This window comes from Homo sapiens, chromosome 2 (genome assembly GCF_000001405.40).
Source record: "Homo sapiens chromosome 2, GRCh38.p14 Primary Assembly".
Classification (NCBI taxonomy): domain Eukaryota; kingdom Metazoa; phylum Chordata; class Mammalia; order Primates; family Hominidae; genus Homo; species Homo sapiens.
Window position 1 is genome coordinate 179804872 of NC_000002.12, and position 22124 is coordinate 179826995.

The 22124-nt window shown below is 36.1% G+C and overlaps 1 protein-coding gene and 1 pseudogene across 10 annotated transcripts in view, besides 1 other annotated feature; one reads left to right on the plus strand and one right to left on the minus strand.

Annotated features, from left to right (window-relative positions):
* ZNF385B (zinc finger protein 385B) overlaps nucleotides 1–22124 on the minus strand; it is a 419631-nt gene that overhangs the window by 362890 nt on the left and 34617 nt on the right. Inside the window, exon 2 of one of the 10 annotated variants that reach the window (NM_001352808.2) lies at nucleotides 16466–16551. The exons of the other annotated variants lie outside the window; for them this stretch is intronic. The gene's annotated coding sequence lies outside the window, so the exon portion shown is untranslated. The remainder of the gene's footprint in view (nucleotides 1–16465; nucleotides 16552–22124) is intronic. 10 annotated transcript variants of the gene reach the window in all.
* On the plus strand, nucleotides 9223–9967 carry TXNL4AP1 (TXNL4A pseudogene 1; annotated as a pseudogene).
* Nucleotides 16737–16937: a silencer, noted in NCBI's record as "peak3953 fragment used in MPRA reporter construct". NCBI's record gives its function as "represses an SCP1 promoter by STARR-seq MPRAs in K562 erythroleukemia cells {active_cell/tissue: K562}" and the evidence as "EXISTENCE:reporter gene assay evidence [ECO:0000049][PMID:32103011]".

Below are 22124 nucleotides of genomic sequence, written 5' to 3' on the forward strand. Positions count from 1 at the left end.
GTGAAGCCCTTCTCATTCCTCAAAGTTCAGAACAAATTTCCTTTTGGAGCAATGCCCTCTGTCATTGATAATCTCTAGAGGGGCTTCCAACAATTCCTCCAGTTCAATATACTCATGACACTCTTCTCATCAAGAGGTGGGCAATTCAATTCCCTCATGTTGAATCTGGCCTTGGGACTGGCTTGGACTACAGAATGAGGTGAAAGTGATATCCTGGAACTCTCAAGCCTAGGCCATAAGAGAATTCTCAGTCTTCACTTTCTGTTCTTGGAACCCGGCCACTGTACTAGGAAAAAACCATGCCATATGGAGAGGTTACATGGGGGGAACCAAGGCGTACTGGTTAAACACTCCAGATTAGCTCCCAGCCTATGCCAGGACCAACCATCAGCCATGTGAATGAAACATCCTGGATGGTCCGGTCCAGCCAAGTCCCAAATGAATGCAACTCTAGGCATCATCACATGCTCAATAGATTTTAGCCCATAGATGTGTAAGGCATAATAAAATGATTGTGGTTTTAAGCCACTAAGTTTTGGGTTGTTATAGCAAGATGAAACCAAAACACCATTCATGAAACTCCTGGACAGGGTAGGTATTTCTTAGATTAAGCTCTCATAATTCTAATCTGTAACTTAACAAATTATATTATTATAATTATTTCTTTTTATGTCTGTGTCTTCTCCTGGTTTCAAGGCGTGGGTTTGAATCCCAGCTATAGGTTTATGTGGCAAATTACCTAACTTGCCTGTGCCTCTTAGTTTCCTTATTTATAAAATGGAAATAATGAGAGTTCCTACTTCATAGGATCCAGTTAAGGATTAAATGAATATGTAAAAAACATAGAATGGTGCCTGGCATTCAGTAAGACCTATATAATGGTTAGCTGCTACTGCTGCTGTTCCTCCTCCTTCTGCTATTATAAAGACACAGTAACAAAGGCAGTGTCATTTTACATAATGGATAGACAAAGAGGACACTGGAGTCCTACAATAAATAGTGCTTGGACAATTAGCTCTCTAACTTATTATGCTAGACATAAAAATAAATTCCAGAGAGAATTTTGCTTTTAAAACACAAAAACTTCATAACATTTAGAGGAAAATATGGGAGAGTATCTTTAATAGCTTGGCTTACAGGGAAAAATATCTTAAACCTGATGAAAAAGCAGAAATCATTAAGGAAGATTGTTAAATATAACCATACTAAAAATTTTAAATTTTGTACCAACAAACAGACAAAAAAATGCCATAAACAATGTTAAAAGACAAGCCAGAAACTGGGAAAATAAATTTACCCAGATTAATGTCCAAAATATGTAAAGAACTCATTCTAATTAATAATAAAAAGCAAATAACCCAATACAAAATGTACAAGATGATAAACAAGCTATTTGCATAAGGAAAAACCAAACAGTTAATAATATAATAAAATTCTAAGACAACATGCCCCTCAATTTTAAATAATAGGATATTTCATGCTTTGTAATTGGCTCCTTGTCTTCTGCCTGGGTCTTCAGCTAAAGTTATCTTTTGAATAAGAAGAGGGAGAAGTTGGTGAGGCATGGAGGTCATGAAGGGAAGCCTAGGCTCCCCCAGTCCCCAGAATTTTTCCATCCCGGTCTTTGCAGATAAGGCTGATTAGAGCCGTTAACCTTTCAATAACGTAACCTGATATTTTACATCACTAAATTTTTACACCCCACTTATCACATCTTGGTAATGTTTTGTAACACTGATATCTTACTTAAGGCTCAACACACTTGTAAGACATTCTCACATGTTAACTCAGAAAAACCCCACAATGTTGGTATGATTATTATTCCTAATTTGTCAATGAGCCACAAAATGGTGGCAAGCCCAAGGTCACCCAGAAGAGTCAAGATTTAAAACCAAGTTATCTGGCTTTTACATCCAGCTCTTAACCCAATACTATTATTGCCTCCAAACATATGATACATGAAAAGATGCTCAATCTGACTAGTAATCAGGGAAATACAAAATTGCAGAATTCAATTTCACGCCATATACAGAACGACAGAACATTTAAAAGTCTAACAATGAATACTATGAGGATGTAGAGCAATGGCAATCCATACGCTTCTAGAGGGCTTATAAATTGGTACAAACACTATCAGGAGGCATTCGGAAGATATGTATTCTTAATGACAGAGCAGTTTCACTTCTAGGTATACGGTTGAGAAAATACTTGCCAAGGAAATAAACAGAGAAATGTCCGTTTCTACCATGTTTGCATTGGTAAATGGATATGAAATATTATTTACATTTATATAAATGTCTATAAGTGAATGACTAGATAAATTTGGTATGCTCACACAATGGAATGCTATTCAACAGCTGAAATGAATAAGTTGAAACTACTAGCTGTATCATAGATAAATCCTAAAATTATAATGTCAAATTAAAAAGTAAATTAAAGAATAAGGCTGGGCACGGTGGCTCACATCTATAATCCCAGCACTTTGGGAGGCCGAGGTGGGCAGATCACCTGAGGTCAAGAGTTCGAGACCAGCCTGGCCAACATGGTGAAACACCATCTCTACTAAAAATACAAAAATTAGCTAGGCGTTGTGGCGTGTGCCTTGGGAGGCTGAGGCCAGAGAATCGCTTGAACCCAGGAGGCAGAGGTTGCAGTGAGCCAAGATCTTACCACTGCTCTCCAGCCTGGGTGACAGAGGGAGACTCCATCCCCTCCCCCGCCCCTCAAAAAAGAGTAAAAAAAGGCCAGGTGCGGTGGCTCACGCCTGTAATCCCAGCACTTTAGGAGGCCAAGGTGGGCGGATCATAAGGTCAGGAGATCGAGACCATCCTGGCTAACACGGTGAAACCCCGTCTCTACTAAAAATACAAAAAATTAGCTGGGCGTGGTGGCAGGCGCCTGTAGTCCCAGCTACTCAGGAGGTTGAGGCAGGAGAATGGCCTGAACCCGGGAGGTGGAGCTTGCAGTGAGCTGAGATCACGCCACTGCACTCCAACCTGGGCGACAGAGCGAGACTCCGTCTGAAAGAAAGAAAGAAAGAAAGAAAGAAAGAAAGAAAGAAGGAAGGAAGGAAGGAAGGAAAGAATACAGCAGGCTACCATTTATATAAAGTTAAACAACATACAAATATCATTTATAATATCGTATATAATTCTTTTTGTTTGTTTGTTTGTTTGTTTGTGACGGAGTCTTGCTCTGTCGCCCAGGCTGGAGTGCAGTGGCGGGATCTCAGCTCAATGCAAGCTCCGCCTCCCAGGTTCACGCCATTCTCCTGCCTTAGCCTCCCCAGCAGCTGGGACTACAGGCGCACGCCGCCACGCCTGGCTAATTTTTTGTATTTTCAGTAGAGACGGGGTTTCACCGTGTTAGCCAGGATGGTCTCGATCTCCTGACCTTGTGATCCGCCCGCCTTGGCCTCCCAAAGTGCTGGGATTACAGGCGTGAGCCACCGCACCCGGCCTATAATTTTTATATGATACATGCATGCAAAGTAAAGTGCACACTCAAGAATGGAGATGGTACACACTAAATTCAAAGCTATGGTTACCTGTGAAGAGAAAGGGATAAAGCAAAGGCACACAGAAACATCAGCTGTAGCTGTAATGTAGTGCTGGCCTAAAAAAAATAACTAAGGCAAATATGTTGAGGTTTAATAAAATTGGGTGGCAGGTGCATGGTGGTAAGCTAGTTTGTATACTTGTCTCTATATTTCAAGTATTTCATAATAAAAATATAAAAACAAATGAAGTGTGGTAAAACAGAGAACATTCCAAAAATAAATGACAAAGAGGAGATTTACATATATTTCATCGAAGACCTTTTTTGAGAAACATTGCTTTACAGGAGCATCTGTTACTGTGTCTAGGCCCTTAACTTTGATGGGTCCTACCTCCCTTTAGAGCCTTAACAAAAGAAATTGTTTCTACTACAGCAATAACATTACAGCTTTGCAAAAAAACAACAAAACACATATTATGATTAACAGGAAAATAAAGTCAGTGGCAACATGTTTATGAAAATATCAGCAATGTGTTCCTCCTAACCTGGAAAAATATGCCATAGGACAGACAGATAACAATAGGTGAAATAGATAAATGAAATATTCTTTAACTACCATTTAATAGAGAATTGGTAGTTTCTCCTCCATGTAGAAGAGAAAACATTCAGGATTAATAATTTTGAATCAGGTTGATAGCTGTCAAGCTATGATTACTGCCTCTAGAATATGAAAACATAAAAGCTCAAGGGCAAAGAAAAAAAATCACTTAGTATCCATGTATTAGTTTACTGGCCCCTTACTCTGTTCATTTATATTACACCATCTAAGTTTCAGGAAAAAGTAATCTAATCTGAGATTCAGTTACATGGAAGGACGGATCAAGAAGTTATGGCATGTAAAGAACTTTGTCTCATGAAGAGAACTCGTAAAGAGTTTCAGTAAAACTCTCTCTCTTCTATCTTTGTGTTTCTTGCCATTGAATTATGCTCTGTTACCTTTATAGCTTATTCTATTTTGTATATCTTCATATTCACGTGCAAACATAGTAATGCCCCACTTAACTAGTCATTAACATGGCAATCTAAATTACATGAAACATGGCCAAGGAAATATACACATAAGACCCAAGAACAATCAAAATACAAGTCACAGAGTTCTATCGTTGAGTCTTATGCTACATACAGTGCTAAAAAATTTAATCATAGATTCAACTACAGATAAAAGCTGTTTAAAAAGACATAAGTATGACATCTGGAAGTATCATTAAAGAAACATGGGAAAAATACAAATTTATTACAGAAATTTTGAAAAACCTAATGGGTCACGTGGGACACGAGCAAAAAATCCATCGTATCTAAATAACTCACAAAAATGCTATAATACTTATGATGATTCACAATGAATCATGACCCTGAATTATCGAGAAAAAAAATTATATTTATTCAGTATACCTTAAGAACTGTGGGAAAATGACTTTAAGCCACTGATTCTAACATTCATCCAGAAAAACAAATATGTAAGCATGTTCTGAAAAAAATAACATTTGTCTTATCAGTTTTAAGATACAATGTAATGAGATAATAATGAAAAGAGTGAGGTAATACCACAAAAATAATGAGACCAATGGAACAGAATTATCTTCAAACAGAAAGATTGATATATGTCAGTAATCTTTGAAAAGGGAACATCAGGAGTCAATATGTAATTATCTAATAAATGTTACTGAAATACTTGGTCAACTATTTTGAATATTGTCTTCTTAGGGGAATTTATAATCTCATCTGAAACTATATATCAAATAAATTCCAGATAGGAAGAGCTTTTAAAAAAAATTTTTAAGTGATTGTTTTATAAAGGAAGGACGTTAAGCATAGAGCAAAATGACTTTAAAAAGAAGAAAAGAAAAACAGACAATTTCAAAATGCAAATACATTTTTATAATTATAAAAGTAATTTGTGAGAAAATCTGAAATCTTAAAATGCATATAAAAATAAACAAGAAAGTTTGTTGATTTTACTAACAATCAAGAGAAAATATTGTTACATTTCAGAATATATTCTTTATTTTTTTAGTATGTGTTTATATACATTGACACAAATATATATACAAAAAATCACAAAAATTATTTCGTGAATGGGATTGTAGTTGCCTTATAATTTAAAGTTTTTAATTTCTACATTAAGGAGTGTGTTCCATGTAAATAAATATGGATCCACATTGTCATCATCATCATCATCATTTCCAATCACTACAAAATATCTTATTCTATTAAAATATCTTATTCTATTAAAATAAAACTTTTGGAAGTAAACACAAATAAAACCAATTTTCTCTTTCAACTACTGGTGTAAAAGTCAATTTTGGTTGTTTTCTCTTCCAAGATGGTGGAATAGAGGCTTTTAACATGCCTCGGCCTTTTGGAAATAACAAGATAGTGCATAAAGATTAAGTGAGCTTTCATTCAAGAAGGAAAATGGGAATATAAGAAGTCAAACTGTCCCTCCTCACTGAAGATATGATTTTATACCTAGAAAACCCTGCAGACTCCATCAAAAGGTTCCCAGAACTGATAGATGACTTCAGTAAAGTTTCAGACACAAAATCAATGTAGAAAAATCAGTAGCATTTCTATACATCAATAATGTTCAAGCTGAGAGCCAAATCAAGAATGCAATCTCATTTACAATAGCCACACACACAAAAATAAAATACCTAGGAATACATCTAACCAAGGATGTAAAAGATTTTCATAGTGATAACTTCAAAACACTGCTGAAAGAAATCAGAGATGGTACAAATGGAAAAATATTCCATGATCATGGGTTAGAAGAATTAATATTGTTAAAATAACCATATCACCCAAAACAATCTGCAGAGTCAACATTAATTCTATCCCACTACCAGCATCATTTTTCACAGAACTAAAAAGAACTATTATTAAATTCATATAGAACCAAAAAAGAGCCCAAATATTGAAAGCAATCCTAAGCAAAAAGAACAAAGTCATAGATATTGCATTACCTGACTTCAAACTATACTATATGGCTGTAATAACCAAAACAGTGTGGTACAAAAACAGATTCACAGATCAATGTAACTGAATAGAGAACCCAGAAATAAAGCTCCACACCTACAGCCTTTTGATCTTTGACAAAGTTGACAAAAATAAGCAATGGGAAAAGGACTCCCTATTCAGTAAATGGTGCTGAGATAGCTGGCTAGCCATATGAAGAAGAATAAAACTAGACCTCTACATTTTAACATGTACAAAAATTAACACAACATGGATTATTTAAATGTAAGACCTCAAACGATAAGAATCCTAGAAAAAAACCTAGGAAACACCATCCTGGACATTGGCCTTGGGAAAAAATTTATGACTAAAACCTCAAAAGCAACTGCCACACACACAAAAAAAAATTGACGAGTGGGACCTAATTAAAATAAAGACCTTCCACACAGCAAAAGAAACTATCAACAGAATAAACAGACAACCTACAAAAGGGAAGAACTTATTTATAAACTATGCATCTGACAAATGTCTAATATCCAGTCTATAGGGAACTTAATTGAACAAGCAAAAAACAACCCATTTAAAAATGGGCAAAAGACATGAACAGACATTTCTCAAAAGAAGACATACAAGTGGCCAATAAACTATGAAAAATGCTCAATATCACTAATCATCAGAGAAATGCAAATTAAAACCACAATGACAACACTATGTTACACCAATCAGAACGGCTATTATTAAAAAGTCAAAAACCAACAGGTGCAGGCGGGGTTGCAGAGAAAGGGGAATGCTTATACACTGTTGGAGGGAATGTAAATTCGTTCAGCAACTGGGGAAAGCAGTTTGGAGGTTTCTCAAAGAACCTAAAACAGAACTACCGTTTAACCCAGCAATCCCATTACTGGGTATCTAGCCAAAAGAAAATTAATTCTTCTACCAAAAACACTGATGTACTCACATGTTCATTGCAGCACTGTTCACGATAGCAAAGACATGGAATTCAAACTAGGTGTCCATCAGTGGTGGACTGGATAAAGAAACGCGGTACACATACATCATGGAATACTATGTGGCCATAAAAAAGGAATGAAATAATGTGTTTTGCCACAATATGGATGCAGCTGGAGGCCATTAATCTAAGTGAAGTAACACACCAACTGAAAACCAAACATTGCATGTTCTCACTTATAAGTGGGAGCTAAACATTAGGTACTCATGGAAATAAAGATGGCAACAATAAAAACCGGCAACCACTAGAGCACAGAGGGAGAGAAGGGGGAAAGGGTTGACAAACTATTGAGTACTATGCTCAGTACCTAAAGACCTTACTGAATGACTCAGTATGTGAGTCATTCACTTACTAGAAAGTATCAAAAACAAAGCACATTTATATATTTCCAAAGATTATGTATTTATTTTACTTTCTTTGAAAGCTAGTAAAGTTTGATTTTTTAAATATTTCTTAGTCATTAATATTTCTTCTTTTCTAAGTTATTCCTTCATGTTCTTTGATCAATGTTCTATTTGGAATTTTAAAATTTATTTGCAAGAGAGCTCTCCTATAATATTTACAAAATCAATAGTTTCCATATTTTTATAACTATTTTTTCCTGCTTGTCATTTGTATTTTATCTTTGTTAATTTTTATTGTGTGGAAGCTTTCAAATTAGTCACATTTAAAAATATTTACTCTAATGGTTTCTACCTTTATTGACGTACTGATAAAGATCATCACTATCTCATGATTATATAAATATCTACTTACATTCTTTCACATGCTCTTATGCCTTTTGGGTTTTTTAACATTTGAATCTTAGTCTACTTGAAATTTATTTTGGTATGACATATGAGAAAGAATTCTAACAGTGTTTGCCCCCAGATTTGGACATCTGTCCCCAATGTATTAAATACCTTAAACATATGCCAGTTTATCTTATTTACTTGGGTCTATTTTGGGGCTTCCAATTTTGTGGACAGTTTAATTTTAAATTGGTCATTTGACTCCTAAAATTTTTAATTAATAAATGCGTGAAAGTAAAAGGCAGAAAACTGGAAAAAATTATTACAGCCACTATGACAGACAAATGGTTGACAACATTAATATGATAAATCATACAAGTCAACAAAAAACTACCAAAACGTCTTCAGGGAAGGTGGAAGATGGGTAAAGGATAAGCAGGGAAAATTCATAATAGAAAAATAAATGACTACTGTAAACATGGTAAAGTGACATCCACCCTATAGTAGTCAAATAAATATGTTTAAAAAATTAGATAACACTTATTAAATTGTCCAATTAGCAAGGACTGTCTCATAAAGCAACTTTTAAAATCTCTTTAAAGTTAAGAATCTCAGGAGAAAGGCATTCTTACACTTCCCAGCAGGCATATAAATTGGAAGAATGATTTTTAAAAACAATCTGGCAATAGCAAACAAGAGTCATAAAACAGTATACATCCTTTGACTCAGCAATTTCCTTCAGACTCTAGCCTAGAAAATAATGTGGAATGTAGTAAAAGATTTATACACAAAGACATTCACCTTAGTTTTATTTAAATCAAAAATAGAAAGTAGGTTAAAAAATCCAGTAAAATAATGAATATATAAATCATAGCATAACCACAGTATCAAATACTCTAGCTATTTAAAATAGTTATTTACAAACCTGTTTAACAACATGTGGAAAGTGTTACAAAGTTATGTGAATGAGGCAGGCCCAGTGTTGCTGGGGGGTTATGGGCAGGCCCTGGGGGTCTTCAGGGACCTCAGGGGCAGAAGGGGCTGGGGAGTGAGGGGCCGGCTGTGCTTCTCACGCAGGGCCCTCATTGGCACCTGGCCTTGGGCAGTGGCAAGTATGTGGGCCATCATGTCACACATGCTCCTGCACCTCCACAGCAGCTGGCAGGTGGACCAGGCCATCCTCCCAGGAGAGGACTGCATGGCTGTCATTCGCTTCGGCCACGGCTGGGACCCCACATGCATGAAAATGGATAAGGTCTTGTACAGCATCATTGAGAAGGTTAAAGATTTTGCAGTTATTTTTCTTGTGAATATTACCAAAGTACCTGACTTCAACAAAATGTATGAGTTATATGATCCATGCACTATCATGTTTTTCTTCAGGAACAAGCACATCATGGTTGTCTTGGGGACTGGCAACAACAAGATTAACTGGGCCATGGAGGACAAGCAGGAGATGGTCGACATCATAGAGACCGTGGACTGTAGGGCCCTCAATGGTGGCGACCTGGTCTTGTCCCCAAAAACTACTCCACCAAGTCCAGATACTGAAGCGCCCTCAGGCTGTGTGGATAAATGTTGTGGAGGCCTTTTCATGTAGAAACCTTTTAAACTATTTCAAGCCTTTGGAAAAGTACATGAAGTCCAGGGCTGGAGGACTTCTGAGATACAATTTACTACATGGCCTTAACTAGCTGAAATAAACAAACACATGAAGAAAAATAATAACACTGATGTTAACTGAATGAAAGGAAGATTTTAAAAGTGTATATATAGTTGCATCACAGTTGGTAAAAATGCATATAAAAAAATTTAAGTAAACACATAATGATCATCTCTGAGAATAAGATTATGGGTGATTATGATTTTCTTCATTCTTCATTCCCTTATTTCTAAAATACTTCACAGTATGTCTCTATCGTTTTTGTCTAGTTAGACGGGAATACAAATTGGGGAAAGGCCTGTGCTTTCAAAACGGGAAGAGCTATGAGCAAACAAATCGATGAGCTGGGAGAAGCAATAGAGAGAGGAAGAGGACAAAGGCTTAAAAGAAAGGAACAATGAATGTCACCAGGATCCTGCAGAAAAGAGACATCAAGAGAATAGGTAGAGAGACTTGTCTAGGAGGGACATCTTTCATTTGATACCTGTGAGGAGGAAGTACTGGAGAGGTGCAAATACAGATAGATTTATATGCAGGTAATGGGAGCAGAACATTCACTGAACTCGGAGATGTTCACTTTTATTACCTAAGTCAAGCATGAGGGAAGCTCATCAGCTGAGACTGAAATAGAACTTGAGAAGAATGATAAAGATTATGGAAACTGAATGGGAGCAGGAGCTAATTGAAAATAGGGAAAAGAACTATACCGGTATTTCTGTTTACCTAAACACATGTCAAGATCATGAAATCATTTTGTTTCAGGAACCAAATACAGTTACTATCTTCTTTACCAGAGAACAATTCTTTTAACATGTCTATGCCATATCTTGATTGATTGCTTGATTCATTGATTTAGATTCTTTGATTCATTCAACACTACTCTAGCGCTTAACCAGGTCACTAATGCCCCCGACATTTGCAAATTCAGTGGTCAATTCACAGTCCTCATGTTATTTGACATTTGTTATGTGTTACAGTACACATTTAGGAATCCTTCATTCTTGAAAATTATAATGTATTTGTTTCCAGGACACCACTCCACTGTACTATTAACCCTTCTTAGATGCCTTTGCTGGTACCTTTTCATCTATCTGATTATAAATGTTAAAATGCTCCAAGGGTCAGTCTTTGTGCCTCTTACATCCATTTATTCACAAGGTGATCTCATTCAGGCTCTTTTCTTTAAATATGTTTGTACACTGACAACTTACATATAACACACACACACACACACACCTGCAGATTCAATGTCTCACCTAAACTTCAGACTCAGTCAGAACTGCCTACTCTACCTGAATGTCTATCAAACTGCCAAGAAGCAACCCCCACCCCAAGTACTCCTCATCCCCAAATTACCCATTTAACTAAACGGAAACTTCATTCATCAAGCTGTTCGGCTAAAAACCTTGGAATCATCAACGGGTCTCCATTTCTTTTTGCCCACTTCAAATAGAGCTGCAAATTCTATTTACCCTGTTTTCAAAATACACCAGGATCTAATCACTTCTCTCCACTTTCATTCTAGTTTAAGCCACAGTCATTTCTCCTCTGGAATGCCTTGGTCCCCGCCGAAGGGACCTTTTCCGTCATCTGTTAAGCCCCTGCAATCTGTTCTCCCCATTGTAATGGGAGTGATTCCTTAAAAACAAACGTAAGTTAGATCATGTCACTCTTCTGCTCACAAGTCTCTAATGACTTCGTATTTCACTTAGAGTAAAAATCAAAGTCTTTATGAAGACCTTAAGGCCCTACCTGATTAGGCTTCCTGGGAAGAGGGCAGAGAGCAGGAGGATCTTCTGCCTAGGTTTCCACATGGGAGACAATTTCTCTAAACACTATACCTAATGGGGGCTTCCTCAAATAGAAGTTCAATGTTTGTCCTAGGTACGGTTTCCTAAAGTTCTCTTATCTAACTAGTAAGACTAAGAAAGTGACTGAATAAAATAAATATCTAAATAAAAGCTCACATTTTTAAACATGAAATTTCAGAAATATTAGTTGTTCCTTTCAGAATATAATATACTGTACTCTAATTGCCATTCTCTCATCTCATTTTACTTTTCAAAAGATATGCACCAACGGACCAGTGTGGTTTATGGAAGATTTTTTTCCCTTTTTCTTCATTAGTAACAAAATCCCAGAAGTATGATTTCCAGATTCTCTTCAAGAAACAAACATCTGATGTGTCCCAAATGTTGCTTTCCAATCTTTTACACATTGTGTAAAAGCTTCATTGTGAATAACACTAGGCATTTTCAATGTTCTGTTGAAAATCGAAGAAGGACAAATATCTGTCCTTATATATTCACAAACAGAAAGCTCTCAATTTCAGAAAAGCAACCCAACTGCCCACCTTTTCATTGTCTCCTATTGAAATACTAAATTGTATCATTGTTATTGTGCATAGTGTTTATTATTATAATCAATGAAAGCAAGTAACTGAAAGTAGCACAAAGTGACATAAGAACATTGATCTACAATTTGGCAAAATAGAGAATTGTTTCTTGAATTTCATGATATATTGTTTGCCAATTTCCCATTTCACCCTGTAGACTCACCAGGTATATATTAAAAGGCAATTTCTTATCTACTTATGTAATCTCTCAACTTTCACTTTCACATATTAAAGCAGAATAAATCCATGAAGTTTTCTTAAACTACATGCAAATAATAAAAGTGAGCCAGTATCAAAACCATTAATTTCACTCCAAATGTAATCACATGAAATAATTGGTCTGAGTCACCCACCTCTAAGTTAAAGATCAAGAGAATGTAAATCAAAGGCAGAAAAGTCAGAGGTCAGCAACAAAACACCGGGGAAGAAAGCCAGAGCTTAACTGTGTGTGAGTAGACATCACTGTCTGTGTGTGTAACCCTCTGTGTGTGTGTGTGTGTGTGTGTGTCAATCTGAATGGGTCTATGTGGTTATGTTCACATGACTGGCTGTGTGTGTGTCTGCATAGGTATGTGTGCATGTCAGCTTGAGCATGTGCATGTGTGTCTGTGTGTGTGCATGCATGTTGGCCTGCAGGAGACAATGTGAGTTTATGTGTGTCAATCTGAGAAAGAGAAAGTTCATGCGCATACGCAATTTTCCCCTTGGAAAAGTGGGTAGAACACTGTTGGCTACACAAACTTTTATGTTGTGTAGGTGTGTCAGCCTGAGCAAGAGTGTGTGTGTTTATGTATGTGTCAGCTCAAACAAGCAACCATGTATGGGGAGAAGGGAGAAGACTGTGTGTGGCAGACTGAATGTGTGTGAATGTGTGTGTGTAGTATGTTGCATGTGTGTAATATGTTGTGTGTGTCAGCCCAAGTGAGTGTGTGCATGTGTGGGTGTGCATATATCAGCATCTATCTGGGAGGAGGAACTAGAGAGACTTTTTATTTCCCTGGATCCTATGTGGTAGGAGAGATTTCTTAAAAAATCATACAAGTGCAGTTTTATTAAAATTTGCCTTTCCGACATAATGACAGGTCCCTCCAAGTATGTTAATTAACCTCAGTAGAAATTAGGTGTGAAAATATCCTAAAATGATTTAGCAGCAGGGCATGGAGGATTCAGTCAATTTAAACATTGCCACTTTATAAGTTAGCAGAATGCTATTTTTCTTTCAGTTTAAAATAACCTGATATAATTAACTAATTTTTCCTTCACTAAGTGGCTCTTTAAATCAGTATTACAACTGATGTCTCTCAATTAAACATCATTTTATTTTAAATTAAGGTTTAACAGATAATTTCTGAACAATCATGATTAATCTCTCGCTAGAGTGTTAATATTACACATAATCATAAAATACAACATTGCAAGAAACGTTTCAGCTTTCAAAACTAAGTACCACGAAGCACTGACACGGTATGCTGGACTACAACTTGTTTTTTGATTCCCACAACACACTTCCGGTCAGTTCGTTCGGCCTCACTATCCAGAGCTGACTAGGAGGAAACACATCACACAAGTGACTCACCGTCTGTCTACTCAATGGAAAGAAGAATAGAAAGGTTCTCATCCTCAGTGCTGGCCCTAATGCTCATCAGATTTTATAAAACCCAAGATAAACCTGGAAAAACATCAAACTAGTCCAGGGGAGCTGCTCTTCCCCAGAGTGCCAGTTCCAATGGCCTCTTCACTGGGTAGAAAGTAACTAAGGTAGGCTTTCTTTTTGGAATTCGGCTATTATTTTGGTGTTTTTTTGCCAATACCTCATAGATATATATGTATAAATATGTGCATGTTTATAAATACACACACACACACACACACACACACACACACACACACACAATTTACTCCACAAAATAGAACTTAATGTCACCTTGCTTTATTTTTCTAAATCAAATAAAGTATGACTCCGAGTATCCATTTGCTAACAGTGTTATTTGGTATTCCATACCCTTTCCTGCTCTGGCCCTGTGAGAGCACCAGGAAATTCAGCAAACTTGAGAAGGGACTTATGGCTTTCAATATGTTGTGGTCACCATTGAGATGTTGGTTTTCAAACCCCAAGGACAGGTGGGTGGCTCCACTTCCGAGCCAGTGCAGACCTTGGAATCTTTAAGTGCCTGGAACACAGTGGCCTCCCTCATGACATCACCTCCCCCTCTACCACATCATCCATCTATCACCCACAGACCCTAGCACTTCCTGGGATGCCCCACAGGATTCAGAGTGGACCTGCCACTGTGCTTCATAATCCAAAACTCTGGGTGAGACCTTTCCACCCCTTCCAAGCCTTGAAACTTCATTCCTTCTTGGCCAACCTAATTCAATGCTGTCCCAGAAGATAAATACAGACAATCTTTACTTTTCCCCTTGGAAAGATGGGCAGAACACTGTGAGGTGCTCAGGCCCTCCGAAAGTTGAGGATGGGCTTATGGCTTTCAGTCTGTCATAGTCACTATTGAGATGATGGTGTCCAAACCTCAAGGACAGGTCAAAGGTCTTTTGGCCTCTCCTTTCTGGGAGGATGGGGAAAAGGTACATTTTAGTCCACAGCAGCCATGTTGTCAAATTCTATTATTACACTATTTTTGCCTTGGTTTACAGACTTTCTGGACACACTGTAGTATACGATTGTATTATACTTTTTTCATATTAACAATTAGACATATTGCACGAGGTACTTCCCCTAACAAGATGTCTGGAGATAGATCGAAATCATAGCACATTTTAAAAAAATGTCATTAGCACACTGTCAAAAATAAGTTTATCTTATGTTTCCAGACTTTTCAAACACCCTTAGAATGTTTATGTATGTACATGAGAATATGTGTGTGTATATGTGTGTGTGTATATACATATATTTATTTATATACTACTCAAATTTTTTTCATTGATGTGTTTTCTTAAGTGGTAAGAATTTTTTAAAATAAAAGTTTGATAATTTTCTATAATACCTACTTAAAAATCTCTTTTCCAGTTTACTATGTACCTTTGGTTTTGTTAATGTGGAATAACACGTAGATTTCATTACTTAATTTTTAAGTATATTTGCATAAAGGTATTTGCATAATTTGTAATCTTCTTTGACTCTGACTATAGCCCTTTTCTCATTTCTAAATTTGTTGATTTGTATTTTCTCTTTCTCCTTCTCTTTTTAAAATTTAGTTTACCAAATGTTCATATCATTGTTTGATTTTAAACCAGGCTTAGTCAGTTCTATTGTTTTTCCATCTTCTAACATTAAATTCTGTGTTCTATCTTTACTCTTAACATACTCTTATCTGCCTAAGTTCTGTTTATTGGTATTACTTTGTTTCAGGATTTTTTTTCCTCCCAATTGTCTAGAATTTAATGTTTCACTCATTTTCAAATTATATTTTTAAATAATGAAATCTCATAGGGTGATGAATTTTTCTATAAATATGCATTTGTCTGCCAAGAATAATTTTGACATGAAACTTACTTCTTTGATTATTTTCTTAAAAGGCTATAATTGTATTTTTTATTTCCTCACTTACTATAAGGAATTTCCTTATAGTAATGAATTTCAAGGGTTTTACAAGAGAAGATAAATGGTGGATGTTTGCTTTTTCTTGTAAATATTCTAAGTCAGAAAAAGGAGTTTTGTAAATGGAAGTTCTAGCTAAGACATTAAAACCTTAATGACATTATTAGCTATTGGTAAGTCTACACTTACTATGCCACATTTATTTTTCATATTCCTATTCTAGAAATAATGCTAAAATTTCCTATTTGTGCACTTCAGAGCAACCTATCAAAACTAATAAAATTTGAATGGAACTTTTGGCAAAAGTTTTCAATGAATACTTTTTTCTTTTTCCTACTCAAAGTACATATTAAAGAAAAATTGCCAATCTTTACAGGTAGCCCTCAAATCTTCCTGCAGCTGACCAGTGGACACAAACTCCCAACTGTCAGGGCACAGGGAATTCTCTCTCCTGTTGCCATGCCCTCCTCTCTTTCCAACTATCTATACCACTTCTTAAGTAGTCATCATAAATGGAGTCATTTGGGGGCAGTTGAAAAGATCTTTGTGAGTGAATTTCTTTAAAGCCATTTAATATCAGAAATGCTCATATTACCCATTAAAAATGTCCTCTCAGACAGTTGGATTCCCTCCAACAAAGGATGCAGTGGGGAGTTCAGGAGGTTGAGAACAACGTAGGAGCTGCAGAGAAAATAAATAAAGCCTCCAAATGAGAGTTCCGTTCTTTTACATTTTATACCACACCCCTTGGTTTAAAAGCCATAAATAAAACTAAAAACAATACTCTCGAGTAATGACTTTTACTTTTGGTAAGGACACTTCACAGTTTCCCAGGAGATTCTTCAGGCCTATGACAGAGATCTAAATAAGAAGCAATTTTAAGATGTCATTCCTTATCTAGCCATTTTACCAAGACGTGCTTTACCCAAGATAGACTAAATGACACCTGTTTCCCCTCTTAGTATATGTCAGATAAACTAGCATTCTCAGTTCTGCCTTGACTATAGATTGCAGAATATGATTAATGATATATCCAAGCAGAAGTCCCCAAGGAAAACATCATCTCTTAATTCTGATTATCCTAATGAAATGGTACAGTTCATAATTCATTAATCTGACTGCAGTGACAAAAATAGGATGCAAGAAAAAAGAGTACTTCTATAGTGTCCAAAGAGACAAAGCTGAGATAATTCATTAGCAATAGCATATGCTTAAAATTCACTATGTTCTGCTGCATAGTGCAAGGTTTTCTGTAAAAAAGTAAAAGCAAGAAACACATTATGTTCCTCTTTTTGAAGAAAATGATCACCTTCAAAGAAGCCAACAGAACTCTTATTTAAAATATTCTTGTTTCTCCATGAAAAAAATTTCCTACACAATAGGTTCCTAAAATACAAATTTTATTAAGGCAATAAGTTAAATAGGAGTCCATTGAGCACAGGCTTTTGTCCTTCTTTTTCTTAGCCTTCCCTTAGAGGTAGATTGCCTGTCAACTTATTAACCACACATTTTCCAAGTGGGAGGTCATTTCACTGTTTAGTTTCTTAAATTAGCAGAGCTTAATACATCACTTCACCCAAAACTAGCTGTTATAAAAGGCAATACACTAACGTGTAAAACATTTATTTTGCTAAAGTACTTTAACATTCAAAAATAAATACTACCATTTAATGATGGTAATAATGATGAAAATTATAATATTATATCTGATTCAACATATTCTTAATTATCAGCAGCAACAGCAGCAACATAGACCTTGGTGGTCAACAGAGTCTGATGGAGTCCTGCACTCACCGAAAGTGCCACTCCTAAGCTGTGGAGGACATTTGCACTGTGAATGTCATCTCCACATCATGAACCTAAAGACCCTCCCTAGACTTTTGAATTTTAATTTGTAACTGAGGCTGGCATGTGTTTACCATTTGGGTATAGAGGTAGCAAACCTACACATCTCCCCCTTAAGTGAAAGGCCAAAGAGCCCAGATCATTAAGCCTTAAAAAATGACGTCATTGGAATACCTTTTTCCATTCTAAAGAATTATTCTTTGCACACAAAAATAAACACATAATAATAGGAATTCTGTGCTTATGGGAGTAAGCCATCCATTACATATAAGGCATACCAGTCCTGGACTTTTTGTAGAAATTTTCTGTAAAAACAGCTATAAAGATGTCAAAGTTCTATTAGTTATTATATAACTCTGACCGTTGTGAGGGATACAAAGCAGATTTCAGGCTTTGTTTGGAAATTTTCATCTAAAGATGGGTTCTCTTCTTTTCGGAGGGGAGAAAAACAGTAAGTGTTCAAGAGCTCAAAATTCACGCTGAATCAAAGATAACTTTGCACTGGTCAGAAAGTTCTAGCCGAAAAAATATTCCAATTCACTAACCTTGATTCCATGAGTGAGATAAAGCAGTTGAGGTGATAAAAAGTGAGACCTACTCTTCTGCCTGGGTCTTATCCCCCCATATCAAATTCTTCAGTTACCATAAAATACCACATAGAACTGCTATGCTGTATTACAAAGCTGCAGCACAAGTTTCACAAACAGGTGAATTTTAGTTCTAGATAAAAAGATGAAAATGTTTGCTGTGTCTCAACATAGCAAGTTTAATTTTATACCTACTTTTCTTTTCCAGGCTATCCAAGGCCACAAAGCTGAGCTCATTTATAAATCCTCCTTTGCCTTTTGTCAAAATTTGGTTCACTATCAAGTAACATTTTCCTTAACACAAATTTTTATTTGTTCCCATTTTTTCTCTTAGTACAGAATACTAATCTACCTAAGTTCTGTTTATTGGTATTACTTTGTTTCAGGATTTTTTTTCCTCCCAATTGTCTAGAATTTAATGTTTCACTCATTTTCAAATTATATTTTTAAATAATAAAATCCTGTAGGATGATGAATTTTCCTATAAATATGCATTTGTCTGCCAAGAATAATTTTGACAGAGGCATTCTTAGACAACTTTTCTTATATTTTACTGTTCATTCTTCTCTACCTCCATGACCCAACATCCAACTCTAAGATCTTCCTCTGTCAATCATTGAAATAGCATGTCATTCTTCTCAAAAATGATGGTTTCCAAATATTTGCAAACACAATGGTTTGCAGTTATTTTTAAGTCTTGTTTCAGTTAGAATTGTTTTTGGTTGCAAGTAACTGAAACTCAAATTTAAAAGGCTTGAGCAATTACAGGTATTTACTAGTTGGTGTAATGGAAAATTCCAGTGACAGGGTTTGGCTTGATCCAGCTGAACAGTGTCACCAAGACTATCTTCATACCTTAGTATGAAGATCTTAGATGCTGTATTCACCTAAGGCTTTTTAAAAATCTTTAGATGGTCTCCCCTACCTCCTAAGGGTACAAGTTCAACTACTTCCAGCAGGAAAGTCAGAGCCTGTTTTTACAGCAGCTCTATTGAAATGCTAGTATCTACTCCAGTTGTGCATGTCTGGTCCATGTGACCATCACTAAAAAGATATCACTGTGGCTAAAGGGATGGGGCACACTGATGCTTAAACCAATGAGAGCCCTTTTGGAGCTAGAAGAGAAGTCTATGTTACCCAAATTGCTCAGAAAATTTGGGGCACTGTACTTTAGAAAGAGAAAGGGTGCTTGGGAGTCAGACAACAAATGTTAACTACAAAAGTAAATCTTTGACATTTATCAGATTGTGACTCTTCTGCACTTTTTATGTTTTATAATATCCTACACAGAACAGCATAGCATTCACTACACAGTAGGTGCAATATGAATAATGACATTAGTAAAACATAAAAATACAGAGAATAAATGCTTCCTAATGCAATACATTTCAAAATGACAAGAAGAAAATAAAATTTATGAATAATATTTAAATAAACTTGGCATTTTAAATACTCATTGTGAACATAGGTCTGTGTTTGTTTTGTTTAATTTTGTTTTTGTTTTTTTCATTTCCAAAGCACCATATATTTTGAACACATATGGAAGGGCATATGGTTCCCTAATATCTTAAGTGTGACTTCATCATTTTATTGGAGAATTTTTTTAATATTTAAAGATACAACTTTTAAACAGGGTGGCCATATAAGCTAGTTTGCTGAGGAGATGCCTGGTTTATGCTTTGCTCTTATGTGGGTAGTCTGATTTAAAAAAAAAAAACATTTTGGCAACATGTATATCCTAAAGAAATCTGAGACAAGGGAAGTACCTAATCAAATAAAAGTGAAGTTAAATAGGCATACTCTTTGTGTGAGCAAAGAAATAGTTCAATTTATCATGTTGTAAGAAACACAGCACTGCTTCTAACATACGAAAGAAAATTCATTTGAAGCCACAGCTGTTGTGCTTTAGGGATTTGGATTAAAACTCATTATTATCTTTCTGTTAATACTCTCCCCTGGACCAATCAGTGGTCATATGGTGTTTACAGACCCTGAACACTGAACTGACTTGAATGGCCTTTGTATTACAATACAATCAGATTATGTCTAATCTAAATGCTGTGTGTCCTTTATAGGACAGATGAATCCTAATCCCCCATTTACAAAAGCAAAGCCAGTCTAGTTCCCAATGGCTATCTATTCACCATTTCCTGTTTTGTTTTGTTTTTCAATTTTTGAGTGACAGATATCAAAATAAATTTTAAATTCACTCAATCTAAAGTTAGTGTAAAAAATACTTGGTGGTTTTGAGCAGTGGTCAAAGCACTTCTTTTTTGATAGTCTAAAATGTGTTACTACAGAAACACAATTCTTCTCCTTCTAAAGAATAAAGATTAACAAAATAACCACCCCCCAGTATTCTAACAGTTTAAAGGCAAGATTTAAAAGCATCTCATTTCCTCTTTCCCAAATTACTTGTAAGGTTATCTTGAAGCTCAGATTAGTTAGCTGTGCCTAGGCTTTATCAGTTAAGGAGTAATGATGTTTTAAAGCAGAAGTCCCCACAAGATGACTCACCAAGCCATCTGAGAATGGACCTTTCTGCCTCTTGGAGTTTCATTACAGTGTTGTCAAGTCTTGCTTCACTGTGAGTCTCTGAAATAGGACGCCATTTTCAAGGAAATGAGGGAGTAAAATACCACTGATGACAACAACTCCTCCCTTCCTTAACTCATGGCTTCCACCATCTGCGAACCCCAACTTTCTTCCCGTTTACCACTTCAGGATTGCCCCCCCATCTCTGTCCTCCCATGATTCTAGGAATCATTGTCAGTATTCTGATGCCATCCCCTTCCTCAGCTCGGCAGCTTTATTGACACTAAATTTTGGGTATTCTCCTTTTTAACACCTCTTTTGTCCTCCTTTTTACATCACCTCTGTGAGCCACCTGACCAGCAAATGAGAGCCTAAAATTAGAAGAGAATAGGTAAATAAGTTACCAAATTATGAAAAACAGCTGTCGAAAATTCAGCTACCACCCTCACGTACAACAGAGTTTAGGGTTTGGAATTGTCAAACAAGAATGGAGTTCAATGTTTAAATAGACAAGGAAGAAACTTTTCGAAAGGTATCGGGAAGGGGAGGAGTATTTTAACAAAGACTGATAGTGCTCTGTTTCTTGATACAACTCTATAAAGCCACAAATAAAACAACAACAAAGCATGCAAGAGCTTTGATGCCCTCACGGGTTTTCTTCAGGGATAGAGGTAGAAGGCTGGCTTGTTAACAATGAAAAGACACCATTCTAACTCTCACTTGATGACTGATTTCATTCCTTTTAGAATACTCAGACACCACTTACCCCAGCCCCATCCATCTCTGTGAAGCAAAGAGGGCTATTGATAGCCCTGCAGAGAAGCGAAAATACTCCCAATAGGCACCTTTAAACTATGCAGCACTCTCCCTTAAAGCAGGGGGTCAGCAGCAAGATATTTCTCCACAATGCACACAATAGATCTAAATGGACCTAAAATGAACAGGTAGGTTTTGTTTCATTCTTTTTTTTAATTTGCTTTGTAAATTATTCAGAAAAAAAATTCTTTAACTTGCCTGGATTTCTCTCACTGCCTAGCACCTCCCCACAAAACATATACTAAAAATAAATACCAACTGCTTTTGCATCTATAAATAATGCAATAAGAAAGGTAAATTTGAAGCTAAAAATTTATAAGGCATACATCAAAGACAAATCCAGTTGACTTTGGTGTCTGTATCAATTCAAAACTTCAAATCTTTTGTCCATTCCACACTTAAGTTCCTAGCATGGTCTAAATACTACAGTAGAATAAAGACAAACTGGAAACTCACCCTACACTGAGTCTT